General features: G+C 35.2%; 1 protein-coding gene across 1 annotated transcript in view; it reads left to right on the forward strand.

The window, feature by feature from the left end:
- CFAP47 (cilia and flagella associated protein 47) overlaps positions 1 to 16,742 on the forward strand; it is a 465,584-nt gene that overhangs the window by 410,996 nt on the left and 37,846 nt on the right. The window lies entirely within an intron of this gene.

Consider the following 16,742-nt stretch of genomic DNA (forward strand, 5'->3'; position numbering starts at 1 on the left):
GGCTGGAGGACAAAGAAAGCAAAAAAGAAAGCTCTGACTTTACTTCCGTTACTAAGACTAAATTGTCTGTGCCACCATCTAAAGCCAGCCCCTCTACTCGAACCCTAGATTCTGCCTTTTCTAATTTTTCAATGATCATACCCGTCAATTATCCCTCATGTCACCTATATCTACCTATATCAATGTTTCCCTCTTTTAGATTATTCCTACAGTATATACCAGCAAGTTACAATATCAATATATATAAATAAACACTTTGATCCCATCGTCCAGTTACTTCTCTTACGAATCAAAATTCCTAGAAAGAGTTGTCTGTATTAACTGTCTGTACTTCTTTACCACCAATTTTCTAACTTACTTCATTGAAGACTTAATCCTGTCAACTTTACTGAAATTGCTTTTGTTAAAAAAATCAGGGCTTCCGTGCTGCAAAATTTAAAGGTTAATCTCTTTATCTTACGTTCTCTCTCAATAGCATTTAATATAATTGATTTTTCTCTCCTTCTTGAAATGTTATATTCACTTGACTATTTTTTTTCTAATCTGTCATTGTTCACTCTTCCTAAGTCTTCTTTTCTGCTCTTATATGCCATCATAACTCTAAATTTTGGCTTGATTGTGGACTCACTCCTGCCTCTTCTTTAGTTATATTATCTTCCTGGTCATTTATTGCAGGCTGGTGGATACCATCTATACATTGTGACTTCCTAATTTATATTTCCAACTATAAATTCTCTCCTGAGTTATAATAGCACATTTTCTTCTTCACATGGATATCCAGTACACTTCTCAAACTAAATATTATTCTTGATATATTTGCCCCCTCATTCTCTTCCTAATTTACTCCCCAAAGATTTCTCCATATCAGTTAATGGCACCATTATTTATCTAGTTTTATCTTGCCAAAAACTTAGGAGTCATACTTAATTTATTTTTGTCTCACTGCAAATTTCCAACACATTAGTAAATACTGATAGTAAAGCCATCAAGATGTATCACATTTCTGACCACTTCTTACTACCTCCACCACTTACACCCTCATCTACGCCAACCTAAGCTGCTGCAACAGCTTCCTTTATTTCAGTCTTGCACCAAGCAGTCTATTCAAACAGAACCCGGAGTAATATTCTGTAACAAAAAATAAATTGGGTCATATCAACATGTTGTTTAAAACCTCCTTGTAATGTGATTTTGTAGGCTTAGCATTTTTGTTTTAATTCTCAGACTCTTATAAGCTAAAATATGTTCTAAGCCATGCATTAGGGGCTATCTGGTACACTTTAAATATGAGAAGTTCTGTTTTATGATAAACAAATATTAAGTTGCTCATTATATTTACTTTTGATTGGAAAAATATATCAAATTCCAATTCCATGTAGATATTATATTCAACCAGTAAGGTTAATTAAAATATTTGATTACTTCCAACCTTTATTTAATTTAAAGTAAAATTTCTGGAAATAACAAAATATATTGGATAAGAAGAATTTAAAATGAAAATCAATCCATCAAATGTAGTTGGAGCCCTATCTGATATGTCAAAAATTTAATTACAACTGAACTAAAATTATCTTTTTTTTTCTTTTAGCTGACATTCCTATGTATATTTAAGTCTAAATGTAATATTAAATGGATATAAGTTGTCACGTCTCCATGAGTAGGAAATAAGTACACAAATGAAACTCTCTACTGTCATCAGCTTTGTGGGCAAGTCAAAATTAATTCTTACAGAAAGGATTAGATTTATGTTTTTTCAGTTATCTCAAAAAAGGAAAATGATGAATGCATTCTATGAAAACATTCATTTTAGAATTTTCCTATTCTAACTGGGCACAACCACACATTACTTTTTGTCACTGTTATTCTTCCTGACTTCTGGTAGCTATAATGGGTATCCTTTCTGAAGCACTGGGCATATACTGGAATCCCTGCCTCTATCAAGGAGAGGAAGAAGCCATCATTGACTATTGTTCATTTTATTATTGCATATAAATGGTGCTGTGATATTTGTCACAACTTCTATCAGAAAGAAAGCTAGTAGGGGTAAAATGGCAAATGATGATACAATTATTTTGCAACCGAGTACTCAATTCCTGGGTACATTAGCAAACTCTCCACATATCACATTAGTGTGTTATTAGTGAGGGCTAAATTTTGGGAATGCCAAGCCCATATGCAGCAAAGTATATACATAGGTTTAGGTAATTAGAGTGTGTTGAATAATTAGTGGATTATTTTCAGGCCATCAGCAATCTTTATATGTAATGTTTATTTTCAAAGCTATCAATTCTGTCCCATCTCCAATGTCGCATCTCCAAAAGGTAGTTGGGGGTGTGAGATTTTCCTACCACTATCTATCTTTCTTCCATGTGGAAGCATCTTATTATACATTTATCTCTCTTTATATCTGTCACCATGTGAATACTAGTTCTTTTGGGTCATCCTTCATCTTTGCATTCATATCTATCCCAAAGTACAGTATACATCTACCTTTTTTTTTACCATAATTCTCACTCCTTTCCTAATCCTAAAACTTTACCATACCATTAATTCAAACTCATATTCTATCATCAGAAAAATACCCTCTATTCTCTACATCAACTTATCTGAACTTTCTCTATACTTTCTTGGAACCTGACTCTTCCCTGAGAAGATACTTCTTTCCCTACAGCCTTTCTAAGTTGTGGCTTTTTCCCACACACTCACAATCCTGGGCGTGGAGGTAGGGAAGCTGTCCTCCTTCTTCTACGTTTCTGCTTCTAGACCATTCTCCCTCTCTCCTAAAAATCTCTAGTTTTGATTTTTCAGCCATCAAAGAAAATGTCTCTAGCTCCAACACTATATTTCTTAAAATCCTTGTTGACGTCAATATCCACATAGTTGATCTCTTCTATAACTCTTGTACTTTCCCTCAATTACCTGCTCTTTACCCAACTTAGCCATGCGTATGTTCAGATTCTGTACTCTCATTCCCAATAACTTCAATCCCTCCATAATCTCCATTTCAAGTGTCTCATTCTCTTACTCCCACCTCCTCTTTCTCCAGTTCATTACCTCTAGTACTGCAATTCTGGAACATGCTCACAACTTGCCCTTTCTCATGCCTTCAACTCACCAAATCAATTTCATGGTCCATAGGTACAATAAATCTGTTGCATATAGTCTCATCTTCCTTGCTTCCTCAGTATCCCTTTCCCCTACCTTATCTAATACTTGTAATTGTGAATGGCGACCTCATTTATGCCTGTCTCTGTTCAGATAAATGTAGCTGAATAAAAATATACAAATGTGCTGAAAGGGATCACATTAAATCCATGACCACTAAATACAAATTGTTCCCTAAGGAATTCTTGCAATCATACTACATTTCCTGAGCCCTCTCACTCTTGACAGTTTCATCCACCTAACTCCTTCCTCATACCTCCAAAATCTCCTACATTCTCAATTTTGACTAATGACCTAGAGTACTAATTCATTGAGAAAAATACAGGCTACAGGCAATCAAATGAGAACCTCCAAAAGCTTCCACAATCTCAATGAAACAGACGACTACTTGCCACCATATGGTCTGCCTTCCCTCCTGTTACAGTGGATGAATTCCTGTTACCCTTTTCTTTAGGTCTGTATATAATTGTCCACTGATTCCATCTGTGATGACTCCAGATATCCTTTTTTATCAGTAGCTTCATAAATGTTTTTGTCTTCTAAATTATTCTAATTTTTATATAAAGTTATACAATTTTACTTGTATTAAAAATTAATGCTTATCCTCACATCATCTCCTACAAGGTATCACCCAATTTTATGTCTCTCCTTTATATTAAAGCTCCTAAAAATTGATGACACCTGAAGAGTTGAGTACTCCGATTCCAAACCTCCACTTTTTTTTTCTTGAGCCAGTTCAGTCAGGCTATTTCTTAACACTGTATCAAAGCAACACTTATCAAGGTTTATATGATCTCTGTGTTGCCAAATTTAACTATGAACTCATTCTCCTAATCTTACCTCACCTCAACCCCTCCAGCCTGAAATAGTTTTTCACTTGCCTTCTAGGATATCACACTATCCTAGCTGTTTTCCTATCTCACATCCTGCAAAGTGTTGCTTTCTTTTGCTTGTGCCTTTTGATCTCAAATACTCTAAAAATGTTGGAGTATTACAAAACATGGTGTTTGTTTCTTTTATGGCAATCTATGATGAATTTTATGGATCTCTATCTGTGCTCATACCATAGGTGATCTCATCCAGACTCATGGTTTTAGATGCCATGTGTATGTTAGTCATTCTCAAGTTTTTAATTTTTTTTCCAACCCACAAACATTTTAAAATTTGGGCTTAAAAATTCAATGGCCTACACATTATCTGTATTTAAATATCTAATATAAATCTGTAAATTTTACATGTCTCAAAACAAAATAACTCTCTCTCTCCAAAATACTTTGTCCTTCGGTTTTACTTGTCTCATTAATTGCAACTCTGCCATGATAGATACTAAGACGAGATATGGTGTCATCCTTGCTCTCACCTTTCTCTCACATCCCCCAATCAACCTGTCAACAAGCCCTACCAACCTTTTTAGAAAATGCATCCTGAATATTCCTCTTCTTAACATGACATCTACCTCTACCAAACTACTTTAAATTGTCATCTTATCTGTCACCTAGTTTGATAAGCTAACAAATACCCCCCGCCTCAAAAATATATCGACTTTCTAATCCCAAGAACTATGAATATTACCTTATATGGCAAAAATCACCTTATAAATAATGTTATAATTTACCAGTGAAGCTATCTGGGCCTGAAGGTTTCTTCTAGGAAGCTTTTAAACTCATAAATAGATTAATGCCCTCTTTTGGAGGGTGTAGTGAGTTTCCACTCTGTTGGTTCCCATGACAGCTGGTTGTTAAAATAACATTCTTGATGTGACAAAATTATAAAAATGGAAAATAGATTAGTGGTTGTAGTAATTCAGGAATGTAATGGGGTAGGAGTTGGTGGTGGCCATAAAAAGCCAACCTGAGAGATTCCTGTGGTGGTGGAACTTTCCTGTATCTTGACTATATTAATATAAGTATTCTGATTTTTCTTCACTATAATATTACAAGATGTCATCATTGGAGATAATTGGGTAAAGAGTGCATGGAATCTTTCATTTCTTACAACTGTATGTGAATCTATAATTATCTCAACTATTTTTGTATTAGAAAACGATATCATAATGAGAAAACTGTAAAGGATAAAGACATACACTATACTTGGCGTTTGTAATATCTTATCATAAATTTGTTTAATATAGTTGCTGCCTTGGCATCCATTTTTGTGCCTGACATAAGTTATTTGAAACCCAGTCATACAGGTGGCCTAGTTAAGACTTCCCCTCCCCTTATGTTTGTTTGCTATTATAACCCACTTGTTTCTCATCTCCACTGACCCAAAACCTAAACCCAACACATTCTCTCTGTCTGTCTGTCTGTCTGTCTCTCTGTCTCTCTCTCTCTCTGTCACAGACACACAGACACACACACACACACACACACACACACACACACACACACACACACACACACACACTCACATTCTCCCCCAGCTGGTTGAGCTCCAAGGAACTTCCCATTGGTCCTCTGCCTTCAAGCCTAACTTCTCTGGGACCTGTGAATAATAAATTTCTTCTGTTCCTTGCATTTGGTTTCACCTCCTCATTGTGTCTCACCTGACACATACACCTGAATCTAACTCGTCACCCATCAGGGCTCTCCTAGACTGACTATTTTGGCTAATGTCCACTAGCAATAGACAGATCTCAAGACCAAATTTGAAAGAGCCATAACAATAAAAATTATAACATATCTAATTTTTAAAAGATAAAATATTCATCATTTATATTTATATGATTGCTAATAACCAGAGCTCAACTGTCAGAGTTCTAGCATCAGCATTTAGAAAAGAAACATTTATGTTTTCTTTCCTTAGGAGATATAATTGCTGTGACTCGTGTCATGTTGATTTTAGTTGACATGTATAATTTAGTTTGACAATAAATAAGAAAAATATTATTTGAAAAATAATATGTTTTTGAAATAAAAGGCAACTATTTATAAATTGGAAAAGGTCTTCAAGGACCCAGTGTTTAGTGACATATGATGATGTTTACTGCTGCTTTACATAAAGCATGCCCAGATCTCCAGATAATTGTCATGGAAGTTTATCAAATTACATTGGCAGCTAAGCATGGTTTCACATTTTAAAATAAACCTTCTTCCCTATTACGTCAAATATTCAATTTTCCACCCAACTTAGCTCAGGTTTCAATTATATAGATTTGTAATTATGATTTATAGCCTAAAGCATGTGAGTTTCCGAGCTAGTCAGTGAAGCTGCTGATTTTATTGAAAAACAAAAGGCCGTAACTCTCATTATGCAAAGATGTCTGGGAGCTTGCCCTTCAAAAAAATCTCCATAACCTGAAATGTAGACCTATTTATACCACCAGAATATTTCTGTGAAGAGAGCAGAAACTGCATCTATTAAAATCACTTGTAAGTGTCTGGTTTTATTAAATGGAACACAAAGCACAGTGTCATTTTTCTGTCATTTTATGCAGTTTTCTTCAATTCAGAAATACAGGTAAATATTATAACAAAAAGAGGACTAATACCTGCTTAGGAGTTATGAATACCAGGCCTTTACAAGAGGTAGATTAGTAGGTGGATATATATAGATGGTAGAGAGAAAGGGAGGTAGAGAAATAGGTAAAATGTGTGTGAGTGATGAACTTGTGATGGGACATCATTTTCCTTTATTAAAATTTGCTATAGTCAAATTTCCTACAGTGAATTGAAACCTGAAGACTACTAGTGACATGTAACACTTCTGCCCCTTTTCTCACTGATATTCGTCCTATTTTATTAAGAATATAGAGGCAAAACAGAGGCAAATTATCTGTTTCTGTCATTACATATTAATAGATTAGCTTAATTTTATTTGCATCCATGTGCCTTGCCTTCCCTCACATTACATCAGAAAAGGACTCTGTGCTCATATTGGCCAGTCCTCCACCAGTTTACTGAATCCCATACCTACTCAATCATGTGAAGCTGTCCAATTTTCTCCTCTGTTTTCCATAATCCTTTTTTTTTTTTTTTTTTTTTTTTTCCTGAGATGGAGTCTCGCTCTGTCGCCCAGGCTGGAGTGCGGTGTGGCGCGATCTCGGCTCACTGCAAGCTCCGCCTCCTGGGGTTCACGCCATTCTCCTGCCGCAGCCTCCCGAGTAGCTGGGACTACAGGCGCCCGCCACTACGCCTGGCTATTTTTTTTTTTTTTTTTTTTTTTTTGTATTTCTAGTAGAGACGGGGTTTCACCGTGTTAGCCAGGATGGTCTCGATCTCCTGACCTTGTGATCCGCCCACATCGGCCTCCCAAAGTGCTGGGATTACAGGCGTGAGCCACCGTGCCCAGCCTTCCATAATACATTTTTAATGGATTATTCTTATCAGCATACCCATGTTACAATAGCTCTCAGTTTAAAAGTCACACGGCTCTTTATCCCCTGACCCTACCAGCTGTCATCCCATTTCTCTGATCCTCCTTGACAGCAAAACTATTTGAAAGCCTGACTGTATTTACTGCCCTCACTTCTTATATCATTATCTCACCCAAGCTAATCCAGTTTTATACACTATCATTCTCTTTTACTCTCTGATACAGCTCTTTTAATTAACTAATAACCTAACATTGCCAGATCTAATTATCCATCATATGCAGTTCTCATCTTGCTCAATCCATGAGCACTGCTTGAAGCACTTGATCTCTCACTGTTTTGGAAACAGTTGATCCCCAGGAATCAATTCTCCCTTTATTCTTCTTCTGTTTCTTTAGTGAGCCCTGCTCATTCTCCTTTGCTGTTCCTGCCCCCCTAACTTCCTAGAGGCTATCTTCTCTTTTCATTTCTATCCACATTCATTTCTAATGGGATCTCATTTATTCACACATAAAATGTCAAGTTCTAAATTGATAGCCTCAGCCTCAACCTCTCCTTTAAATCCAGACTCATATGTCCACCAGCTATCTCAATATTCCCCCTACAGATATCTATGAGGCTTCTCAAATTTCTTTAGGTGCTCTGCTCAAGTGACACCTTATCACAGAGACCTTCCTGGAACACCCTGTATTAATATTGATTTCACTCTCTAACCTTTAACTGTTTTACGTAACACCATAAGTGCTATACATTTTATTTATTTGTTAATGTCTACTCTCACTTGCCGACACATTCTGGAATCTCTGACTCAAGAAAACAGGAGATGTGTTTTCTTTAATATTTTATCCTCAGTGCTTATTATAATGCACAACACATAAGTATTTTCTAAATGATTAAACAGAAGAATAAAATAATGTAGAATAAAAAGCATATTGCACAAAATGGAATTATCTAGACAGGTCTGGGGTTGTACCTTTTCCATAACAAAACCTTGGTGTGTATATTATATTAGCTTCCTTTTTTATATGAAGAAAATCTCACTTATAAATAACTTGCCTAGTTTCCCAGAAATAGTGAGTAATTGAGCACAGAATTAAACTCCTCTTAGTATAGTGCAGAGGAAGAGGAAGACATGATGATTGATCAATAAGGTATGTTAGTTATAGTAGTAGTAGTAGGAGACATTATTTTATCTTAAAATTATCTGTGGGTAATTTAATTAAAATTAAAACCAGCCACTTTCCTAGAAAAATATACAGTTTCTTAACAATGTTTTAAATCTTAGGTGTTTTTTCAACATATAAAGAAAAATGTTATCATGGAGTAATACGGATGGAAGAAGCATTAAGAGATTCTAAACACATGTGTAAAGCCAGAAACCCTTCCCTGTTATACATGTCAGTGGTTATGCAACGTGTGCTTGACAGTCCTCAATGTCAGGAAACTTTCTCCTTCATTGTGCATCCTATCAACAGTCTCTGATAATGGATTATTCACTCATTTTGAGCCACAGTGTTCACAGTAAAAGCAATTTTTGCTTTAAGTATAATTTTGTTATTTGTGCTAATATATTCTTAAAAAGAAAACATAAAACTTTAACTTACAGGTACTTAGCCCATGTTGTAAAGTTTACCTTAGCAATCATATTTGCACTGAATAACCCCAAAACCTACTTAAAAAGCATTATGTCATGTCTCAAACTGAACATTTTCTAAGAAGCATGGATTTGTGTTTATTCCCCAGTTGCATGCATGAGTAATGTGACCTTCTGCTTATGCTTGCTTTTTCTATACTATTTCCTTTGACAGTGTCTTCTTCGGATAACCTTCTATTAAATCTCAAACATTAGCTAGCTCTACGAAAGGTTAACAAGGTAAAACAGCAACAGTTTCTAATTCTTTAGGAGAAAAATGTAATCCCTTAAATGCCCTTCTCACTATTCAGTAGATACTCCCATTCAGTCAAGGGAGTATAGGTAGGAAAGGGAGAATGATTCATCCCTAGCTTTTCCATCATCAGAGCAACCAAATGGCAGTCAGATGATGTTTTTCTATCTGCTCTATGTTTTGACAGCAAGGAGTTAGAATCTCTGTAAGGAAATTTAATGACAGCCATGCCACAGACTCAGGGATAATATATAAAAAGAAAAGATAGTCTCATGAATTAGTTTGCTAGGGCTGCCATAACAAAATGCTGCAGACTGAGTGACTTAAATGAAATTTACTTTCTCACAGTTCTAGAGGCTACGAGTCCAATGTCAAAGTGTCAGCAGGTTTGATTTCTTCTGAGGCCTCTTTCCTGGGCAAGCTGTGTCTTCATGTGGTCTTTTCTCAGTGCATTTGCCCCCAGTGTCTCTCTGTGTTCAAATTATATCTTCTTATAAGGTCACCAGTAATATTGGATTAGAGCCCACACTAATAACCTAATTTTCACTTAATCAACTCTTTAAAGGCCTAACCTCCAAATACAATCACATTAAGAGGTACTGGGGATAAGGTTTCAACATATGAATTTTTATGTTGGGGGCACAATTCAGCCCCTAACATCTAGGAAGAACAAATTACAGGATGCGACTCTCCTTCAAACCACCAATAGAGTAATTATGTTCTATTTTTATTTAAAAAAATTAACTACTGGAAACACAAAGTATTCAAATGGAAAAATACATCAATTTTATGTTTGAAAATGGTTAATGAAAAGTCACATTCTTGATCACTTTATGTTTCAAAAATAAAAACAAGTATTCTTAATTAAAAATAAAAAACTTGAATTTGTATTTAAAGCAAAAATAATAGTACTACTTATGGTGCTAGTATATTTCTTTTCTTTTCTTTTTTTTTTTTTTTTTGAGGCAAAGTCTCGTCCTGTCACCAGGCTGGAGTGCAGTGGTGCGATCTCGGCTCACTGCAACTTCTGCTTCCCAGGTTCAAGCGATTCTCCTGCCTCAGCTTCCCGAGTAGCTGGGACTACAGGCGTGCACCACCACACCCAGATAATTTTTTGTATTTTTAGTAGAGACAGCGTTTCCCCATGTTGGCCAGGATGGTCTCGATATCCTGACCTTGTGATCTGCCCGCCTCGGCCTCCCAAAGAGCTGGGATTACAGGCGTGAGCCACCGCGCCTGGCCGGTGCTAGAATATTTCTTAGTGTCTCTTGGATTATCTGACATGGGCCATTTCTAATGCCACAGTAATTATTAGAAATTGTGCACAGTTTATTAAAAAACGGGAGCAGAAATGTAATACAACTAAAGTGATGAAAAATGAATTGCCCAAGTTGAAATAATTTTATTACTAAAATTAGGGTTATGTTCACTTTACTATCTTGAGAAAATTTTCTTGAAAGACAGAAGACCTCATAGCTATTAAAACACTGTACAATTTCCACATTTCAAATAGGAGATCAAAGAGTAAAAATTTCTAACACCTTTAATCAAAAGAACAATCAAAATAGCAGTTTTAAATATACACCAAATAAAATTTGAATGCTAATTGTAATTGGGCTATAGTAGATTTTAAAAGCAAAGCACAAATAATAATAATAATAATGTCATTATTTTTAGTATTCCTGAGATACTAAACATGATTTATTATCAGGGTTTCTAAAATTCAAAAAATAATGTATAACTCTTTTAAAATATATATACATGTGTAAAATAAATTATGTAAATTAAATATGCATATTTTCCCGAGATGCTTAGTAGAGTTGAACTTTAAGAATGATGACTGTAACAGAAAATAATAAATCTATCAGTAGTTAAATTATATAGTGACTGTATGGAAATGGATAAAAAAAGAAAGAAAAAAGCTCAAACATTTTGAGTTTATAATATGTTTTATTAGGTTACTTAATCTAATAAATATAATCATTATACTAGCTAGATTTCCCAGTCAGAAGATACAAACAACTGATGTAATTACTTCCAGCTTCCTGGTAAACACATATGAAGATGTGTTTAACTACTAGTAACACTGAAAACTAAGACTAGCTGAAAACCTATTCCAAGAACCTAGAAACACTTTATATAATGAGGTTGGCACTCAAATAAGAAAAATAAATGGTATGTTTTTGTTCTTGGGTAGGTATGGATGAACAAAAATTTCAAATATCCCTAAACTGATGTATAAATGTAGGGTGATGGCATTTAAAATACCGTTTGTTCCCCCACGCCAGTCTGCTCCCTGGAGCTAACCGATCATTGCAAGTTTTAAATATTATTTTTAAAAATGAGCTGGAAAAGAAAGCAGTTAGTCTTACTAGAAAATAGAGCATCTGTAATTGACACAAGGTAATACTTACACATGAAGTGACAGAAAGACCAAAGCAAACTTCTAGGAAATCCTGAAATAAACCCAAATATATATGGAAATGCTATGAAGCTAGCATTTCAAATTCATACTCTTTTAAATAAGTGTGTTTTTTTGATAATTAGTTCCATATTAAAACATCAATAACATTAGATAAATTCTTCACTTCATACATGTGTAAATTACAGATGGATCAAATATTTAACTATAAAAATGAAAACATACAAGTATTAGAAGAAAACATGGGTAGATTTTTTTGTTGTTGATATGTAATTCATGGTGTTTCTTTTTTTAAATTTAAGTTCTGGGATACATGTGCTGAACGTGCAGGTTTGTTACATAGGTATACATGTGGCGTGATGTGGTGGTTTGCTGCACCTATCAACTGTCATCTAGGTTTTAAGCCCCACATGCATTAGATATTTGTCCTAATGATCTCCCTCTCCTTTTCCCCCACCCCCTGACAGGCCCTGGTGTGTGATGTTCTCCTCCCTGTGTCCATATGTTCTCATTGTTCAACTCCCACTTATGAGGGAGAAGATGCAGTGTTTGGCTTTCTGTTCCTGTGTTAGTTTGCTTAGAATAATGGTTTCCAGCTTCATCCACGTCCCTGCAAAAGACATGAACTCATTCTTTTTTATGGCTGCATAGTATTCCATGGTCAGTATTCTATCCAACAAAGGTCTAATATCCAGAATCTACAAGGAACTTAAATAAGTTTACAAGAAAAAAGAAACTCCATCAAAAAGTGGGTGAAGGATATGAACAGACACTTCTCAAAAGAAGACATTTATGCAGCCAACAATCATGTGAAAAAAAAGTTCATCATCACTGGTCATTAGAAAAATGCAAATCAATACCACATGAGATACCATCTTATGCCAGTTAGAATGGCGATCATTAAAAAGTCAGGAAACAACAGATGCTGGCGAGGATGTGGAGAAATAGGAACACTTTTACACTGTTGGTGGGAGTGTAAATTAGTTCAACCATTGTGGAAGAATGTGGTGATTCCTCAAGGATCTAGAACCAGAAATACCATTTGACCTAGCAATCCCATTACTTGGTATATACCCAAATGATTATAAATCATTCTACTCTAAAGACACATGCACACATATGTTTATTGCAGCACTATTTACAGTAGCAAAAACTTGGAACCAACCCAAATGCCCATCAATGATAGATTTTTAATTAGAAGGAAGAACAGCTTTCCTGTCCATAGTCAAAGTATTGTGAAGGGCAATGGGAAAACCATAGAAAATAAAACTAATTTGTCCCCAGAGTGTGATATTCCCCTTCATGTGTCCATGTGATCTCATTGTTCAATTCCCACCTATGAGTGAGAATATGCAGTGTTTGGTTTTTTGTTCTTGCGATAGTTTACTGAGAATGATGATTTCCAATTTCATCCATGTCCCTACAAAGGACATGAACTCATCATTTTTTATGGCTGCATAGTATTCCATGGTGTATATGTGCCACATTTTCTTAATCCAGTCTATCATTGTTGGACATTTGGGTTGGTTCCAAGTCTTTGCTATTGTGAATAATGCCGCAATAAGTGGGGTGGGGGGAGTGGGGAGGGATAGCATTGGGAGATACACCTAAGGCTAGATGACAAGTTAGTGGGTGCAGCGCACCAGCATGGCACATGTATACATATGTAACTAACCTGCACAATGTGCACATGTACCCTAAAACTTAAAGTATAATAAAAAAAAGAAAAAAAAAGAGAGAAAGAAAAAAAAAAAGGAACTAAGAGTTGCAGAATAGCAAAACTGAAGTTCAGTTCAAAAAAAAAAAAACTAATTTGTGAGATGAAAAATGAACTTGATACACTCTCAAAGTTCTTTTCAATGTTAATTTTCAGTGATTTCTTGGAAGTTAACAGCATTACAGAGTGGTTCTTATCCATCCAAAGGTATAATAATAGCTAAAGAAACCTGTGGTGAATTCAATAATGAACTTCAGTTCTACTTGTAGGCTTGGTAAAAAAGTTACAACCACAAATGGGGTACTAGATTTTCAATAAAATGGGCATGTTTGTCATGACATCATCTTTCTATACTTTCAATTTAAACGTTAAAAGAAATCATGGTATAAGTAGTGAGCTACTCTTTTTTTATCTGTCTTGACTTCTTACACTATCTTCACTATCTAAAAGCCTAGGTTTATTTTTAGTGGTCATATATTTTTTTTAGTAATAATGTAATCTTGTAAGGCTAAGTTATAATTGCTAAACTTTATCTCCTTGAGGATGCATGCATGGTTTATTTGAGTTAGCCTTTGCTGTTTTTATCTGAACATATTTTAAAATGAATTAATCTATAGTTTCCCTGAAATTAAACATAATGAAATCTCCATAAACTATACTCTTAATAACATTTGCACTTATGACCTGTGAAATATATAGTCATCTAGCGTACTCTTTCATTACCTTGAAGGGAGGTTTATAGATTTAAAGTCACAATAGAAAATCTATGTTATTGTACTAAGAATAATTGAGAACCACAATAAAAATATTAGTCAAAAGCAAAGGAGTAGGTTGGGTTCAAATATATTTTACAAGTTCTTGCAAATATCTCTGTGTATACAAAATGTAATGACCTTCATAATGTATAACTTTTTTTTAGGAAGTGTGTTTATATTAATTAACTTTATCTATTTCGTACAACAATGATTCATGAAAATATAGAATTCATAAAAACAAAGTTGAAGATAATTGAGTTTGTTTAGATCAGCAGTCCCCAGTCTCTGTGGCACCAGGGATCGGTTTCATGAAAGGCAATTTTTCCAGAGATGCGGTACAGGGTCGGGGGAGATTTTTGGCATGAGACTGTTCTGCCTCAGATCATCAGGCATTAGTTAGATTCTCATAAGCAGCCTGCAACCTAGATCCCTCACATGTGCAGTTCACAACAGGTCTCGCTTATGAGAATCTAATGCAGCCACTGATCTAACAGGAGGCAGAGCTCAGGTGGTAATGCTCACCCACCTGCTGCTCACCTCCTGCTGTGCAACCCAGTTCCTAACAGGCCACAGACTCTTACTGGTCCACCGCCTGGGGGTTGGGGACCCCTGGTTTAGTTATCTTAGTAAACAACATAATCTTTCAAGGGGACTTTGGGCAAGTTATTTAACTAAATTGTGTCAATGTTTTCATTTCTAAAATGAGAAACGTAAAAGCATTTAATTTATGCTGGTTTTCTGAGAATTAAATAAATTGTTGTATAAAAATACTTAGCACGGAGCCTGAATATAGTCAATACTCAACAAATATTAACTGTTAATTATATTAATTATTGATTATTATTAACAATGTTACTAGACCTTAGAATGTTTTAATTTCCTCAAGGAATAACATTTAAAATTTGAAAATTTACAAGAATTTTGAGTTGGAAAGTTTTGCAAAGGGGCCATTTTTAATTTCCATTTGTGATGTTTTAAATAGTTTAATAAAATAATTTTATTTGAGAAAAAATGACTTTGATTATCATCAGTCTTACAACAGAATAAAAAATGAGTGTAGTCAATAATCCTCTATTATCTTGTAAAGCAGTGTTACTTTAAATGTAGACATTCATAGGCTTGGAAACCCTCACTGATACAAATGCCCTGAAGCTTAACATTCTTCAAACCTCTGGAAATTTGTCCAAGAGGTAATTTGTTTTTTGTTTGTTTGTTTGTTTGTTTCTGTGTGTGTGTGTGTGTTTTTTTTTAAATACATTCTCATGACCACCTGCCTTTGGATCCTATAAGGTGCTACTTAATCATGCAGCTTCCTGGGCCTTAGCTCAGCCTAAATAAATCAGAATCTCTTGGAATGAGGCTCTGCAGGTTCCATGTCTATCAGGTCTCTCAGGTGACTCATGCATAGTAAATGTTGAAAAATTCTAATCCATTGGACCACAAGAAAATGTTGTCAGTGTTTCTGTCTTATGGTTTTCACAACTAGGAGCAGATGCCCCTTTCTTTCACAGATAAGCTTTGGCTTTCCTCATGGATCAGCTAAATAAATTAACAGCTTTTAGTGGCAGCAATTTGGGGGCTCTAAGCAGAGACTTGCACCTGTTATAGTCTAGAGAAACATATACGAGAAAATAAAGAATCAAAAATTGCTGTACTTTATCCTCTGCAAAATGTGTTAAGATATGAAAAGACTCATGGGTTTTGTGGCTCTTTTATCACTCTGGGAAACCTCAGCCATCACTTTCAACATTTCCTCAGTTCTAGTGGCATCTTCAGGAGAAACTTCTTACTTCAGGAAAATGTGTCTTTTAAAAAGACTTAGACGTAAGACCTAGGACCATAAAAATCCTAGAAGAAAACCTGGGCAATACCATTCAGGACACAGGCATGGGCAAAGACTTCATGCCTAAAACACCAAAAGCAATGGCAACAAAAGCCAAAATTGACAAATGGGATGTAATTAAACTAAAGAGCTTCTGTACAGCAAAAGAAACTATCATCAGAGTGAACAGGCAACCTGCAGAATGGGAGAAAATGTTTGCAATCTATCCATCTGACAAAGGGCTAATATCCAGAATCTACAAAGAACTCAAATTTATAAGAAAAAAACAAACCACCTCATCAAAAACTGGGCAAAGGATATGAACAGACACTTCTCAAAAGAAGACATTTATGCAGCCAACAGACATACAAAAAATGCTCATCATCACTGGTCATCAGAGAAATGCAAATCAAAACCACAATGAGATACCATCTCACACCAGTTAGAATGGCAATCATTAAAAAGTCAGGAAACAACAGATGCTGGAGAGGTTGTGGAAAAATGGCAACACTTTTACACTGTTGGGAGTATAAATTAGCTCAACCTTTGTGGACGACAGTGTGAAGATTCCTCAAGGATCTAGAACTAGAAATACCATTTGACCCAGCAATCCCATTACTGGGTATATACGCAAAGGATTATAAATCCTTCTATGATAAAGAC

The sequence above is a fragment of the Homo sapiens genome, chromosome X (genome assembly GCF_000001405.40).
Source record: "Homo sapiens chromosome X, GRCh38.p14 Primary Assembly".
NCBI lineage: Eukaryota > Metazoa > Chordata > Mammalia > Primates > Hominidae > Homo > Homo sapiens.